General features: G+C 43.5%; 1 pseudogene; it reads right to left on the bottom strand.

Annotated features, from left to right (window-relative positions):
- Window positions 1056-8662, bottom strand: TUBBP9 (tubulin beta class I pseudogene 9; annotated as a pseudogene).

The raw sequence follows: 17046 nt of genomic DNA, 5'->3' as shown, positions 1-17046 counted from the left end.
GGGTACCAGCAGTGTCTGCTACACACAACCACAGACCTTTGGCCCTCTCTACCATTATTTAGAGGGCCTGGATGGAATGAGCGCCCTGGATGACACAGAAGGGCACTGGGTGATTATATTGGACCAGAACAGCAGGAGGACATAACTCGTTGAGTATCCTGATATGAGTCAAGGACACTGCACTAGAGACTTTACAGCAAGATGTTACTGAGCACCTTACTTATGTTCAAATGTAAGAACTCAGGATTATGAAGAAGCAGGAAGCTAGAGTCCTAGACGCTCTGGTCTGAGCCTGGTCTCCTGTGGTCATGTTTAAACAGTTCATACCTGAGTGTCTCTTTTACAGGGGATTTCATGTGTTTGGAAGGATTCTTTCTCCTAAGCCTGTTATCTTAAAAGTGTCTTGATTTCTCAAGCAAACCTCAATCCATAATATTTGGAAGGAAGGGCCTCTTGGCTCCTTATGCACTTCACCCTCCCAGTTTCCCAATGCTGGATCCTAATCTAGAGAATCTGTTCCTTATAGTGCAAGTTAAATGAAACCAGCTTTAAATTAATGCCCAAAGATTGGCAACCAAACAATGCTTCTCAAAGTGTGGTTCTGAGATCCCCTGCCCCAAGAGCTGGAGGAACTTGTTTAAAAGGTGGATTTGGGGATTCCATTCCACACCCATTGAATCTGAAACTGAGTCTCTGAGAGAATAGCCGCACCTATTTATTTTATTTTAAGAAATCCCATTTATTTTTGGCTATTGGAGCAATGTCATCTTTTCAGCAAGTTTAACACATTATAGAAATCTCAAATGTAGGATAGAACAAAACCAAGTGTAGGGGTAGGGGAAGCAACAGCAAAAAGAAGATATGAGATGTTGCAGAAAAGATGGAGGAGGGTTCCCCTCTCCTCTGGGGATTGATTCAAACACTGTGGCAGTATACACCATCACACATAGTCAGGGATGTTAATTCCTTTTCGGGATAAGAAAAGGTGGGGATTAAGACATTTCTGGAGGCTTAGGGACCAAGGATGGTCTCTTTTCCCCACTTGATCCCTTTCTCTGATCTGCGATGTACTTGAAGAGCTTCTGGATGACCATGTTGACAATACCAGTGAATGACATTTTCAGGCCATGAGATGGGATGTCAGACTGTTCTTGACGTTGTTGGAGATCCATTCCACAAAGTAGCTGCTGTTTTTGTTTTGCATATTTAACATTTTGTCATTGACGTCCTTCATGGATATCTGACCAGTGAAGACAGCAGCCAAGGTGAAGTATAAGCCATGGCGGGGTTCACAGGCAGCCATCATGTTCTTGGCATTGAAGACATGCTGGGTGAATTCAGACACTGTGAGCTTGATACTGCTGGCTTCCATGGCTGGTGAGAGGGGAAGAGCCAGGCATAAAGAAATGGAGATGTGGGAAGGGGACCATGTTGACTGCCAACTTGTGGAGGTCGGCATTGAGCTGGCCAGGGAAACAGAGGCAGGTGATGACACTGTTCATGGTTGCTGAGACGAGGGGGTTCATATCCCTGTAGGTTGGTGTGGTCCGCTTCAGAGTGTGGGAGCAGATGTTATACAGGGCTTCATTGTCAATGGAATACGTCTCATCAGTGTTCTCTACCAACTGATGGACAGAGAGGGTGGCACTGTAGGGCTCGACCTTGGTGTCACTTTGGGTGAAGGCACTACACTGAAGATGTTCACAATGCAATCAGGGTACTCTTCTCAGATCTTGCTAATGAGAGTGCCCATTCCAGAGCCTGTGCCTCTGCCCAGTGAGTGGGTCACCTAGAAGACCTGCAGGCAGTCACAGTTCTCTGTCTCCTTCCATACTGAGAGAAAGAAAAGAAAATTATTATGATTACCTAGAATTGCTGTTTAAGCTGAAATAGGCTTTTGATAACTGCACCCCCACCCCCCAAAGTTGAAGTTAAAGAATATTAACTGCTTCTCTGTGAAACATTAACCATATCTCTGCTCTGCATATTTTGTAAGCTCTGTAAGTTCCTGTTTTTCTTGCTGTGTAGCGCAAGGTCACAAGACAGATAAGTGCGAGCTGCAAAACGTGTTTTCTAAGATTTAAGACCTGTCACATGATTAATGGCTTTTGTTCTCGCTTCTGTAAGCCTGCTTTCTGCTTCACGTTTTTCCTCCCTTGAGATGCTTAAAAGGGCCTGTGTCCCTCTTTGTTCAGGGCTCGGACTTTCTGGATGCGAGTCCACTGAGCTGGTGTACACCTTAATCCTCCTGTAACCCTATTGGTCTCTTCAGTTCTGATTTCCCAATACTTTTTCTGGGGGCTCATCCAGGATTAGAGATGGCAGATTTTCTCTCCTTTGCTTGTGGGATTGGAGCCCGGGCTGGGGGAGACCCAAGACCCTAGGCGCCAATGGGAGAACTTCAGCCCAGAGAGGAGATTGGCTCTCCCGCATCCCGGTGCCCTTCCCTGACAGTGCAACAGAACCAGAAAAGGGGCTGCAGGATGATTCCAGGAGCAGCACGCATTCTTCAGAACCACAGTTAGGTTTGGGGCCTCAAGACGGGACCCCTCCCATAAAGACGGGAGGGAGATTGATTGCCTCCCCGGGTGTAACTACTAGTTTGGCCCCAGAGGGGCTGAGGGCAGAGAAGGTGGCTCACCAATTCAGATGAAGTTTATACCCCCACTGACACAGGATGAGAGAGAGGCTCACTAAGTTGGCTTAGGAAAGGAAACTAAAACTGAAGGTGGTGAGAGTGGCTCACCACCCCAATTAAGGAACAGGTACTGGGGAGTGAGGAGGTGTGTGAAAGTATGTGAAAGAGACAGTTCCAGGAGGGATCAATGCAGGGCATGATGTGGGGAGGCACAGATCTCTTAGTGTTGACATTGTGCTCCAAAGCAAGTGTATGACTGACCAGGCCTAGGTCGATCCACATATGGTTGATAGGATCTGCCTTATGATTCCAGCAGTCATAGCAGGAATAAGGTACTCTCCTAGCTAAGTGGCGCCTGAAACTCCCATAATAGGAACCGGTCTGGTCAGTCCAGCACAAAAGGCTGAGTGAGTGTGCATCATAAAGGGAGGAATGGGAGGAAAATTGTCGAAACCCACTCCATTGGAGTGCATGTTAAATAATTTTAAGAAAGGTTTTGGAGGAGATTATGGAGTTAAACTGACCCCCAAAAGGTTGAGAACTCTGTGAATTAGAATGGCCTTCTTTTAATACAGGGTGGCCAGCTGAAGGAACAATAGATAGGGAAGCAATTGGCCATGTATTTAGGGTGGTAAGTGGGGTCGAGGATAGCCTTGGTATCCAGATCAATTTACATACATTGACTCCTGGTTAAACGTGGTCCAGACTTGCCCCAAATGGCTCTACAGCCTTGTTTGGCAATCTATTGTAAAGCCTTGGTGGCCTGGGCTGAGCTTAAGGTGATAGAAAAGCCAATTATGCCAGGGACCTCAGAGGAAAAGAAAAAGTAACAGGAGAGCCAGGAAAAGCCAGTCCTACAAGCACCTCCCAGAGGAAAGAGTTTCCTCCCCGTTATGTTCCAATACACTTGTCCTTGTCAGGGCTAGGACGGGGTACAGAGCAAATAGCCCTTGAGGAATCAGGCTCAGAGGAAAGCAAGTCTCAAGCATCTCCCCACAGGGGAGAGCCTGAACCCCTGCCCATGAAAGCTAAAGAGGAAAAGCAAGGCGATATAGCAAGCCACCTCCAGTCTGGCCACACCCGAGCCTTACGAATGCCCCTCTGTGAGACTTGAGCACAAACTTATAATGAGCAAGGCCAGGTAGGGGGAGGGCCGTGGATTTTCATCTACCAGCCCTTCCCTATGACAGACAACCTAAATTGGAAACAACGTACTCCTTCCCATACAGAGAAGCCTGAGGCTGTCATAGACTTGATGAGGTCCATTTTTCTGACTCATAACCCCACCTGGCCAGACTGCCAGCAGCAACTTCTGACACTGCTTAATACAGAAGAGCACTGGAGAGTGACCCAAGCAGCTCTCCAGTGGTTAGAGAACAATGTGCCAGATGGCACAAATGATGTCTGGCGTTATGCCCGGAGTGGTTCCCAGAGACAGATCCTAACTGGGACCCAAATGAGGCAGGGGAGCTCCAACACCTGCAAAGGTACCGAGAGCACTCTTAAATGGAATGAAAGCCGGTGGGAATAAGGCCATGACAATAGGAAAGATTTTAGAGGTCCTACAAAAGGCTAATGAAAGCCCAAGTCAGTTCTACAAGAGGCTCTGTGAGACATACTGGCTCTATACTCTATTTGATCCGGAGGCTGTTGAAAATCAGCACATGGTGAGTACTTCATTTGTTGGCCAGGTACAAGGTGACATTAAGCAAAAGCTTCAAGAATTGGAAGGTTTCGCAGGCATAAATGCTACTGAGCTTATAGAGGTGGCTACCAAGGTATATGTCAACTGTGAGCAAGAGGAAAAGAAGGAAGCTGGGCAGAGGCTTAAGAAAAAGGCTGAGCTATTGGTGGCAGCCCTGGCTGAAAGAGAGACTGGCATTGTGAGGGGACGCAGTCATGGTCATGGAAGAGGTCAGGCTAGACCAAGATTTGAAGGCCAGATTAGGCTGGAGAGGGATCAATGTGCACTATGCAAAAAGGACACTGGAAGGATGAATGTCCAGAGAAAGATAAAGGAAATAGCCATGACCAGGGAATTTGGCTAGAGCCACCAGCTGCCAGCCATTGTGTTCTAAAACCAGATGCTGACCTGATCAGCCTAGCAAAGGCTGCAGGCAATGAGGACTGAGGCAGACCAGGCTCCATCTCTTCAGGCCCTCAGGAGCCTATGGTCTCAGTAGAGGTAGGGGACCAACAGATGGACTTTATGGTAGATACAGGAGCTGAACCCTCAGTAGTGACCTGACCTGTAGGGCCACTATCCAAGAATTATACAACTATTATTGGGGCAATTGGAATCTTTGAAAAAGAGGCCTTTCTGTCAAGGAGGTGCATTATTGGAGGATAGGAAGTCAGCATGAGATTCTATACCTCCCAAACTGCTCAGTCCCCTTGCTTGAAAGAGACTTACTCCAAAAACTACAGGCACAAATTTCCTTCAGGCCACAAGGAAACATGTCCTTAAACTTCAGTCAGCCAAAGGCTGTGGTGTTAACCCTCACACTCCCAAAGGCCAAGGAGTGGAGGCTATATGCAGAAGTACCACTTAAGCCCAAGACTGTCAGAACCTCTTAAAATATATGAGCTAATTGTTAAAATACCTGGAGTGTGGGCAAAGGACAACCCGCCTGGGCTGGCTGTAAATCAGGCACTAGTCCTAGTAGAGCTAAAATCAGGAGCCTCCCCAGTATGAGTTCGCCAATACCCAGTTTTCATAGACGGCATCTGAGGTGTTCAAAAGCACACAGACCAGCTTTTCAAGCACGGAATCATAATTAAATGCAGATCACCTTGGAACATTCCTTTATTGCCAGTGCAGAAGCCATCTGGTAAATATAAGCCAGTGCAGAATTTGCATGCTATAAACCGGGTCATGGAGACAATCCACCCAGTAGTGCCCAACCCATACAACTTAATGGGACAAATACCAGCTAGTGCAGCCTGGCTTATTTGCTTAGATCTAAAAAATACATTCTTTTGTCTCCAGTTAGCACCAATAAGCCAGCCTATCTTTGCATTTCATTGGGATGAAACACAGCACACTTGGACAAGACTCCCACAAGGGGTTCAAGAATTCCCCTATGATCTTTGAAGAAGTGCTGGCATCAGATCTCAGCTTATGTCCCACCTAATGACAAATGCATCCTGCTGCAGTGCATAGAAAATCTTCTATTTGCAGCCCCTACTTGAGTGGACTGCCTACAGGTCACTAAGAAGCTCCTCCACCTTTTGTGGAAAGCAGAATATAAAGTATCCAAGAAAAAGGCACAAATCTGTTTAGCAGGAGTCAAATATCTAGGTTTTGAAATAAGTCACGGGAAACGTGAACTTGGCAGTGAATGAAAGCAGGCTGTGTGTACTTCCCACCCCTACCACCCAGCGTCAAGTAAGTTTTTAAGAGTAGCAGGTTTCTGCTGCATTTGGATTCCAAACTTCTCACTTATGGTAAAACCCCTATATGAAGCCACAAATGGGGGAATAGGGGAGCCCCTCCTTTGGGAGGCTGACCAAAAAAGGCTCTTTAAGAAAATCAAAAAGGCCTTGATTCAGTCCCCCGGGTTAGGACTGCCAGATCAAACCAAGCACTTCTTTCTGTATGTCCATGAATGGAAAGGAATGGCTATAGGGGTCCTAACTCAAATTATGCGGTCATCGCATCGACCTGTGGCATACTTAACTAAACAACTAGACCTGATGGCACTAGGCTGGCCTCCTTGTTTCAAAGCTTTAGCCACCACAGCTCTGTTGGCACAAGAGGCTAACAAATTGGCCCTAGGACAAAAATTGATTATTCAAGTGCTACACACAGTTATCACCTTAATGGATCAGAGAGAACATCATTAGGTATCATCAAACCCAAGAATGACTAGATATCAAGGACCCTTATGCTAAAATCCTCACATGATTATAGAGACTGTAAATACACTAAACCTAGCTACTCTGCTGCCCATAGACCAAAAGACCCCCTACCTTAGCATTATTGTGTGGACATAGTAGATGAGGTATTCTCCAGCTGAAGGAACTTAAAAGACCAGCCCCTTGGTGGCCCACATGTTGAGTACTTCATGGATGGAAGCAGATTTGTCTCAGAAGGGGTCTGCTGAGCTGGGTATACAGTACTGACATGGGATTCAGTGGTAGAGGCACAGCCTCTACCTTCCGGGACAGCTCAAAAAGCAGAACTGATAGCTCTAACAAGGGCCCTGCTCTTAGCCAAAGGAAAAGTGGTCAATATTTATACTGACTCTATGCCTTTGCCACATTACATGCCCATAGAGCTATATATTTTTTAAAAAGCTAAGGAAAGCATAACCACAAAAAAGGACACACACATAAAAAAGGATATAGATATAGGAGACTGAAGAAATGAATGGCCTCCTGAGAGAATTAAGTACTATGGCCCAGCCACCTGGGCAGAGGATGAAACATGGGGCTACTGTACCCCCATTTATGTGATAAATTTTATCATATGGTTACAGGCTGTTCTTGAGGTTATAACCAGTGAAACATCAAGGGCCTTGAATTTGCTGGCCATGCAAGCCACACAGATGAGAAATGCCCTTTATGAAAATAGTTTAGCACTAAACTACCTCCTGGCCTCAGAAGGAAGAGTATGTGGGAAGTTTAACTTAAATTGCTGTCTAGAAATTGATGATAATGGACAAGCTGTCATGGAAATAACTGCTAGGATGCAGAAATTAGCTCATGTTTCAGTCCAAACCTGGAAAGGTTTGTCTCCAGACTCCCTTTTCAGAGGATGGTTTTCATCTTTTGATGGATTTAAAACCTTAATAGGAGGGTTTATGCTTATCCTTGGCAGACGCCTAATTCTCCCTTGTCTTCTACCTCTTCTAATCAGGAGTATACAGTCAACTATAGAAGCAATTGTGGCCAGACATACTACCACCCAAATAATGGCCTTAACTAAATATCAGCCTCTACCCAAGGAAAAATATGTGCCAACTAAGGAAGAAACAAATGATAGTGGTGCCTTCTATTAAAATCCATTTATAAAAGGCACCAAAGAGGGGAATGAAATAGAGAAAATCATTATGGTTACCTAAAATTGCTGTTTAAAGTTAGGCTGAAATAGGTTTTTGGTAACCAGCGCCACCCCCCACCTACCAACCAAAGTTGAAGTTAAAGAGTATTAACTGCCTCTCTCTGAAACATTAACCATATCTCTGTTCTGCTTATTTTGTAAGTTCTGTAAGTTCTTGTTTTTCTTGCTGAGCAGCTGCAAGGTCACAAGGCAGATAAGCGTGAGCTGCAAAACATGTTTTCCTTTTCTAAGATGTAAGACCTGTCACATGATGATTAATTACTTTTGTTCTTGCTTCTGTAAGCCTGCTTCCTGCTTCACATTTTTCTCGCCTCAAACACTTAAAAGGGTTGTCTGTCTTTGTTCGGGGCTCAGACTTTCTGGATGTGAGTCCCCTGAGCCATTGTACACCTTAATAAATCCTCCTGTAACCCTATTGGTCTCTCCAGTTCTGATTTCCCGCTACAATACCACATCCAGGACAGAATCAACCAGCTCAGCCCCTTCTGTGTAGTGGCCTTTGGCCCAGTTGTTGCCAGCCCCAGACTGACCAGAAACAAAGTTGTCTCATCTAAAGATCTGGCCAAAAGGACCTCAGCAAACAGAGTCCATGGTCCCAGGTTCTAGATCTACCAGGATGGTATGAAGAACATGTTTGCCACCTGTGGCTTCGTCGTAGTACATGGAGATGCAGTCCAGCTGCAGGTCACTGTCACCATGGTAGGTGATGGTGGGGTCAATGCCATGTTCATCATGGATCACTTCCAAGAATTTGACACTGATCTGGTTGCCACAGTGACTGGCCTGGATATGCACAATTTCCCTCATGGTTAAAATTTAATTTTTTTGTTCACCTCAAAGTATCTATGGGGCAAGAAAACATGTAATTCTTTTCTCTGCTGGTCGCAGGTTGGAAGACTGGAATGTGCCCCAGAGGCTGGAGCAGTAAGGTGAGAACACAGTGGCAGGAAGTTTGAGAGGGAGAAAGCAGCTGCACCTTTAAGAAGCAACCTAGATGATTTTAATACATGACCTAGGCTTGTGGTTCTCAAATTTTGCTACACATTTGAATCACTTGGAGCACTCCTGAAACTCCCAATGTAAGGGCCACACCCAAAGCCAATTAAACTTTCTGGCTAAAGTCCAGCTCTCACTCCTGGATTCTGGCTTAAGACTCCCCAGGCGATTTCAGTGTTCAGCCAACTTTGAGAACTAGTGACCTATAGCTAGTAAAGATAAAGCTGTTACGTGATTGATTTTGAGAACCTGGGTTTTCTCAGACATCAAAGAATTTTTAAAAACAGACCCTTGTTTCCTTCTGGCCTTAGAAATCTTAGATAAGATTTTCAATTTACAGGTGAGGAAGCTGAGTCCTAAAAGGTAAAAATGAAGTGGGACAAACAGCTAATTAAATTGATATTTCTTTTTTTATTCAATATAATTGTTCTTAAAAGTTTAGTGCCAATATTCAGTGTTTAAGTCATTGTCAAATGGAAAAGCAGATTTATGTTACCCTAATATTCCAAGCATCTCCACTGCATGATTTAAAAAGTATTTTTAGGCCGGGCATGGTGGCTTATTAGCCAGGCGTGGCTGTGCATGCCTGTAATCCCAGCTACTTGGGAGGCTGAGGCAGAAGAATTGCTTGAACGCAGGAGGTGGAGGTTGCAGTGAGCCAAGATAGCACCACTGCAATCCAGCCTGGGTGACAGAGCAAGACTGTCTCAAAAAATAGAGTATTTTTATGACTTTATTCTTGTACATGTTTCTCTTAATTTCTGAAAACATTTTAATATTTCAATGTCCTGACTAATCTCCTTAAACAATAACAGCAGAACTTTTGGCAAAAATTTGAAAAGACATATATAAAATCCACAAATAAGAGTTAAGTCCTCCAAACCATATAATAATAAAGCCACAGGCTTTTAATAATGAGCAAAATAAACACACACAAAATTTTGCATATACATACATAGTACAAGGCTGAAGTATTTTGACATTTATCTCAACATCTGCAAGTATATAAACTATTGGAAGCCCTGGCCAGGGCAATCAGGCAAGATAAAAGGCATCCAAATATAATAGGAAGAGAGGACGTCAAACTATCCCCATATGCAGATGATATTCTGCATCTAGAAAACCCCACAGTTTCAGCCCAAAAACTCCTTGAGCACATAAGCAACTTTAAAGTTTTGGGATATAATATCAATGTACAGAAATCAGTAGCATTCAGTTACCCTAATAGCACCCAAGCCAAGAGCCAAATCAGGAATGAAATCCTGTTCACGATTGCTACAAGGAGAATAAAATACCTAGGAATACAGCTAGCCAGGGAGGTGAAAGATCTCTACAATGGAGAACCACAAAACACTGTTCAAAGAAATCAGATGACACAAATGGAAGAACATTTCATGCTCAGGGACAGTAAGAATCCATATTGTTAAAATGGCCATACTGCCAAAGCAATTTAAAGATTTGATACTATTATCAATCTACCAATGACATTCTTGACAGAACTAGAAAAAACTATTCTAAAATTCATATGGAACCAAAAAGAGCCTGAATAGTCAAGGCAGTCCTAAGCAAAAAGGACAAGGCTGAAAGCATCATGCTATCTGACTTCAAACTATGCCAAAGGGCTACAGTAACCAAAACAGCATGGTACTGGTATAAAAATGGACACATAGACCAACGGAATGGAATATAGAGCCCAGAAATAAGGCCACACACCTACAACCATCTGATCTTTGACAAAACTGACAAAAACAAGCAATGGTGAAAGGACTTCCTATTCAATAAATGATGCTGGGATAATTGGCTAGCCACATGCAGAAAATTGAACCTCCTTCCCTACACCATATATAAAAATCAACTCCATATATAAAAATCGACTCAAGATGGATTACAGACCTAAATGTGAAACATAAAACTATAAAAACTCTGTGAGATAACCTAGGAAATACCACTTTGGACATAGGAATGGGCAAAGATTTCATGACAAAATGCCAAAGCAATTACAACAAAAGCAAAAATTGAGAAGTGGGTCCTAATTAAAGAACCTCTGCAAAGCAAAAGAAACTATCAACAGAGTAAACAGGCAACCTACTGAATGGGAGAAAATATTTGCAAAGTGTGCATCTGACAAAGATCTAATATCCAGAATCTAGAAGGAACTTAAACATACAAGCAAAAAGCAAACAATCTCATTAATAAGTGGGCAAAGGAAAGAACACTTCTCAAAAGACATACATGAGGCCAACAGGCATATGAAAAACTCCGTATCACTGATCATTAGAGAAATGCAAATCAAAACCACAATGAGATACCATCTCACACCAGTCAAAATGGCTTTTTTTTTTTTTTGAGACAGGGTCTCTGTCACCCAGGCTGGAGTGCAGTGGCACGATCTCAGCTCACTGCAGCCTCCACCTCCTGGATTCAGGCAATTCTCCTGCCTCAGCCTCCCAAGTGGTTGGGATTACAGGCATGTGCCACCATGCCCAGCTAATTTTTGTATTTTTAGTAGAGACGGGGTTTCACCATGTTGGCCAGGCTGGTCTTGAACTCCTGACCTCAGGTGATCCACCTGCCTAGGCCTCTCAAAGTGCTGGGGTTACAGGTGTGAGCCACTGCACCCAGCCTTCAGCATGGCTATTATTAAAAAGTCAAAAAATAACAGATGCTGGAGAGGTTGCAGAGAAAAGGGACTGCTTATACACTGCTGGTGGGAGTGTAAATAAGTTCAACCATTGTGGGAAGTGGTGTGGTAGTTCCTCGAAGAACTGAGGACAGAACTACCACTTGAGCAGCAATCCCATTACTGGGTGTATACCCAAAGGAATATAAATTGTTCTACCATAAAGGCACATATACATGTATGTTCATTGCAGTAAAATTCACTGTAGCAAAGACATGGAATCAACCTAAATGCCCATCAGTCATAGGCTAGATAAATAAAATGGGGTACATTTACACCACAGAATACTATGTAGCCATAAAAGGAGGAGATCGTGTCCTTTGCAGGAACATGGATGGAGCTGGAGGCCTTTATCCTTAGCAAGCTGACACAGGAACAGAAAACCAAATACCTCATCTTCTCATTTATAAGTGAGAGCTAACTCATAACATGGACACATACAGGGGAAAAACAGATACTAGGCCTATCAGAAAGGGGAGGGTAGGAGGAGAGAGGTTAAGAAAAAACAACTCATATACTATGCTTAGCATCCAGGTGATGGAATAATCTGTACCCAAAATCCCAAAGTCACAAGTTTACCTATATAACATGCACATGTACCCATGAACCTAAAATAAAAGTTAAAATATTTTTTAAAAAATTACTGACTATAATGCATACATTTTGGGGTTTGTATGTTTATTACCATAGCTATGTATATTTTTCCCCACATGGAAATTTAAAAACTCTGGTTCATTTTTTTTTTTTTTTTGAGAAGCTCATATGCAATGGAATGTCATAAGGTAACTCTCAATAACTTTTTGTTTGCTTCCAGGAGATCTTGCTTATAGAAAATTGTTACAGTGAAATAACCTCAGTTATTTCCCTTCACTTCAGTGCATCACATCTTACCTGCAAATGAAGATGATCCCACTCCCAGGGATGGGTGAGACCAACTCCTCCCTACAGGCAGCACAGACATGATTCTCCCCATGTGCAATATGGCCACATTAGAAACCCAACAAAATCAGTATCATCCAATCAAATATACCAAGGAACCATAAATGGGTTTTAGTATTGGTATCTCGTTTTCAACTTCAGATTTTAGAAAATTAACATGGAAAGAAAAAACACCTTTTAAAAAGAAAATTACAGGCTTCCTATAGGAGCTGTTCGCCAAAATGTAAAGGTGATTGAGTTGCGCTGAAACCAACCATTGCTTAGTTTGATTTTTCCTGGTGCCAAGAATTGTTTGCTTCATGTATTATAAATTCTTATTTTTCTTTATGCTTCAAACCTCCCAGAAAAAAAAATTAAATACTCAAGGTGAGTCTGTATTCTTTCCATAACATAGGATTGGCCTACCTTAAAGGAAACCCTCACCTGGGACATTGCTTGTAGAAATACTGAAGCAGGCAGGGCAAGGCATTCTTGCAAGTGTGCAGCACTTTCTGCCTAAGGTTCTGCTTTTCTGAAACCATCTCCAAATTCTGGCTCCTATACTCTGCCATGCAATGAGAGGGCTGACCTTTCAGACATATGCCTATGACTTGGAGCGGACCAGGTTGGAGACTCAGGACAGGTGGCTGGAAGCCCAGAACTATATGACTGGTATGTGCTCCTGGTAAGATGTAAAAGTTATTTCAGTTCTATGCTACTTTATTCTAGAGTCTCATGTTTATTAGCTTCATTTTCCTCCTCCGCTGATTTCCTAGGCAATAGGGTCTGTGTCAACAAAGGTCCAGTCAGGAAAAAAAAGCACTCCAGGTACTTCAAGAGGGGGGTTTAACTTGGGGTGGGTCTCAGCTGCTTTGCTTCTGGGGACTTATGGTGGGGCGGGCGGGCGGTGGTAGGGCATGCCACCTCCTGAAGTATGCACCCAGGGCATGTATACTAGGTTTTCCATCCTAGAGATACCCAAGTTCCTGGATGCTAGCAGGAAGGGGAAGAAGAAAATCCTCCTCTCCAACTCCAGAACAGTTCTCCTGGGCCCAGAGGCTCAAGAGCCTTGCTCTGTGTATCAGTGTCTCCTGAAGAGCAGGTCTGACCTCTCTCTCTCTCTGTTGAGGCTGGACAGGACTTAGACCTCAGACTGCCTTTGTTACACTTTCTTCCTGAAGAAGATCTCAGACTACCTTTGTTACTTTCTTTCCAACCCAACCAAAATTGCTCCCCCAAATTACAAAGCAAAAATTCCCATCCTGTATCTATGCATGTACATAGGTACATTTGGGAGAGACAGAGGTGAGGCATTGTCTGTACAATGGGCAAGGCCCAGCTCAAGCAACAACAAAAACAATACAGAAAAGATCAGTATTAGTATAGGTATATATAAAAACGCAAATCTCAAACCCCCTTCCCCTATCATAGATCTGTTTACATGCCCATTTTCTTCCTATTCTCTTGACCCCCTGCACCTAAAAAAAGTTCAGCGGGCCATGCTTACTAGTCCCCAAGCCCATACTTCCCAATCCCAAAAGCATAGCCAAGAGGCTGAATGTTGCTTCAAGCTCCAGTACAATAAAGCTATCAGAAGCTTGGGAAGGTCCCAGGATTCAAAGAGCCATTGGCCTTTTATTAGTTATCTATTACTATGAAGAAAATCCTTCAACATTTAACAGGTTAAAACAACAAACATCACTATGTACCCCATAAATATGTATAATTGTGTCCATTTAAAGTTTTGTTTTTTTTAGTTTCTAAGGATCAGAACTTCAGGAATAGCTTAGTTTGGTCCTGGCTCTGGAGGCTACAGTCATGCTGTTGACTGGGACCAGACCTCAAGCATCCAGGCCTGGAGGATCTGTTCCAAGCTCACTCACATGGTTGTTGTCAGGCCAATGACCCAAGAGGGAGAGAGAACCCAAAACTGAAGCTGCAGCGTCTTTTATAACCTAATTTCATAAGTGGAATGCCATCACTTCTGCTGCATATTGGGGTTGCAGAACCAACCCCTGGTACAAAGCAAGAGGGGGCTACACAAGAGCCTGAATACCAGTAAGGTGGGGATCATTGAGGACCATTTTGAAAGCTGGCTGTCATGTCCTCTGATACCTCTTACCCAGCTTTTGCAAAGAGTAATACCAGAGCAGGGAGGTCCTATTCCACTTAACAATCAGCAGTAATTGCTTTTCATTCAGTTCCTGTTCCTTATCCTCCTCCAAGGATCATTGTGAACTGAAGGGATGACTGACATTCTTGGATCCCATGGAAATATCACCGAATGCTATTAACTATAATCATGGCAGATCAAGTGAGTACATGTGTAGAATTTGGGAGTTAAGCACTATATTGGAAAGTTGAGGTCTCTGATGTATAGCTGGCCTAGGATCATAAATTGAGTTTAGATCTTGGCCTGCATTGGAATTTTTAGGGTCAGGGGAGTCTCACTCTGGGACATTAAACTGGAAGTGGCTACACCTACCATGAGGCCTTGCATGCTAACCTCTTTCCAGATAGAGAAGGGCAGGGCTCTCATCTGGGCCAGAGCAAGTGTAATTCAAAAGAACTCCTTTAATCTTTGGTGGGCGTAATGGCTTTTTGCTACCACAACTCCTCCTCCCTCCTCTCAAAAAAATATATATTCTCAAATGCTGCTCAGGAATTTTTTGCTTCTCCAGGGGGACTATAGTTCTGATGTTGCAAGCAACACAGCAGAGGAAAGGGATTTTTATGCTTCCTTTGGAGTAGTAAAATCAACCAAGGCCTAGGGAATCCAAAGGCTAAAGTAAGATGAGATTTTGCAGCATGTGGAGCTGAGGTTCTGATGTATTTCACTGGGTTTCTAAAGCATGAACTAGGGGCAGTCTAAGATACCAGAAAAAGTCAAAGGTGTTTTTCCTATTCCTTTACTCAACAATCAACACAGAATACTTCACCTCTGGCCACTACAATGTGTGGGGATTTCTCCTCACACAAAACTAGTCAATTATCCAGCAGACACAGGCTGGGAGTCCTTTAATTCAATTCTGATGCTATTTACCTGGAGATAGCATCAGACACCACAGGCTGAGGGCTCAGTCCCACAAGACTGCCCCCCACTTCAGGTATCAGCTGCAAGTAGTAGTTGCTGCCTACACTTTGACCCTGTAGCAGGAGTTCTCATAAGCCCCTCCTTGGACTTGACTAATTTTCTAGAGTGGCTCATAGAACTCAGGGAAACACATTTGCCCATTTATTATAAAGGATATTACACAGGGTACAGGTGAACAGTCAGATGGAAGAGACACACAAGGTAAGGCATGTGGGAAGAAGCTTCCATGCCCTCTCTGGGCAACATCTTCCAGGCACCCTCATGTGTTGAGTTTAGCTATCCAGAAGCTCCCTGATCTTAGTCCTGGGTTGTTATGGAGGCTTCTTCACACAGGCACTATTTATTACATCATTGTCCATTGGTGATCAACTCAACCTTCAGCCACATTTCCCTCTCAGGAGGCTGGGGATGGAACTAAAAGTTCCAACCCTCTAATCCTGTCATGGTCTTTCCAGTGACCAGCTCCCAACCTTGAAGCTACTTAAGTGACTCAGCCATCGATCATCTCATTAGTATACCAAAGACGCTCCAGAAACTCTGGAGGTTCCAAGGATTTTAGAAGCCATAGATGTGTATGTATATGTCTGGAAACTGAGAAAAAGAGCTAAAAATATATTTCACAGAATCACAGTTGGCTTCTATAGTTATTCAAGTTGGGCTTCTGAAAGGCTTAAGAGAAGCAAATGGTAAAGGTCAATGAGGTTACTGGACTTCTGCTATGTTAAAAAATATTTTATATCAGGATAGGCTAGATTGTACTGTAGTAACACAACCCCCAAATTTTGGTGGCTCAAAGGTTTATTTCTTTCTCATGCTTCATGTCCATAAGGGGTTGGCCTGAGTGTTCTGCTCATTACCACTCAGGCTGGTGAAGCATCCACCTGAACTTGCCAGGTCATAATGCCCATAAAGAACACTCTGGAGAGCCTCCCACCAAAAACTAAATCCTCTATCCCAAATAGACATTTTTTCCGGTCATTTCTGCTCATCATTTTGGACTTCATGAGTTATATGAGCCAAACCAACCAGGAACCAGGAAATAGGTGTTTTTTTTTAATATGTGCCTGGAGTGAAGAAGGTGAATATTGGTGAACAGCATTATTAAAGACCACAACTGGCATCCTATAAAAGTGAAGCCCAGATCCAGACTTTCTCTTCTTTTGCTTTGTCTACTTCAATTCGCCCAGAGAGCCCTGCATCTGTGTTAGTGTCTGTAGCTGGCAACAGCAATGTGAGGCTAGAGACAGCAATATATGCTGTGTTCTGGAAACATTATGCTTGTTTAGGAAATGCTATGGTTGTACCTAGATGGTATAGGTCTAGAACTGGTGCTATGACATCCATAGGTTCTATCTACCATTTATTTGGAAGACTACCCTTAGGAAAAGTGGAACAGATGAGACTCAAGGTTGGAATTTAACAGTGAAAGTGCTAAAATAATTCCATCCCCTCCAGTGGAAGACATCCCAGGATGCTGCCATTGGAGAAGGGCCCCCTCTTCCAAGGCTTCCTGGTGCCAGGTACATAGGGAGTATTAAGTCAAGCTCATGGCAGGAAAGAGAATGCAACTCATATGGTTCAAAGGAAGAGGACTTAATGGAAGGATTTTCAGAGGTGTGGGCAGGATTAAGAGAATCAACCAGGTTGTTGAGGCA

This window comes from Homo sapiens, chromosome 6 (genome assembly GCF_000001405.40).
Source record: "Homo sapiens chromosome 6, GRCh38.p14 Primary Assembly".
In the NCBI taxonomy this organism is placed as follows: domain Eukaryota; kingdom Metazoa; phylum Chordata; class Mammalia; order Primates; family Hominidae; genus Homo; species Homo sapiens.
This window is presented reverse-complemented; position numbering and strand designations above follow the sequence as displayed.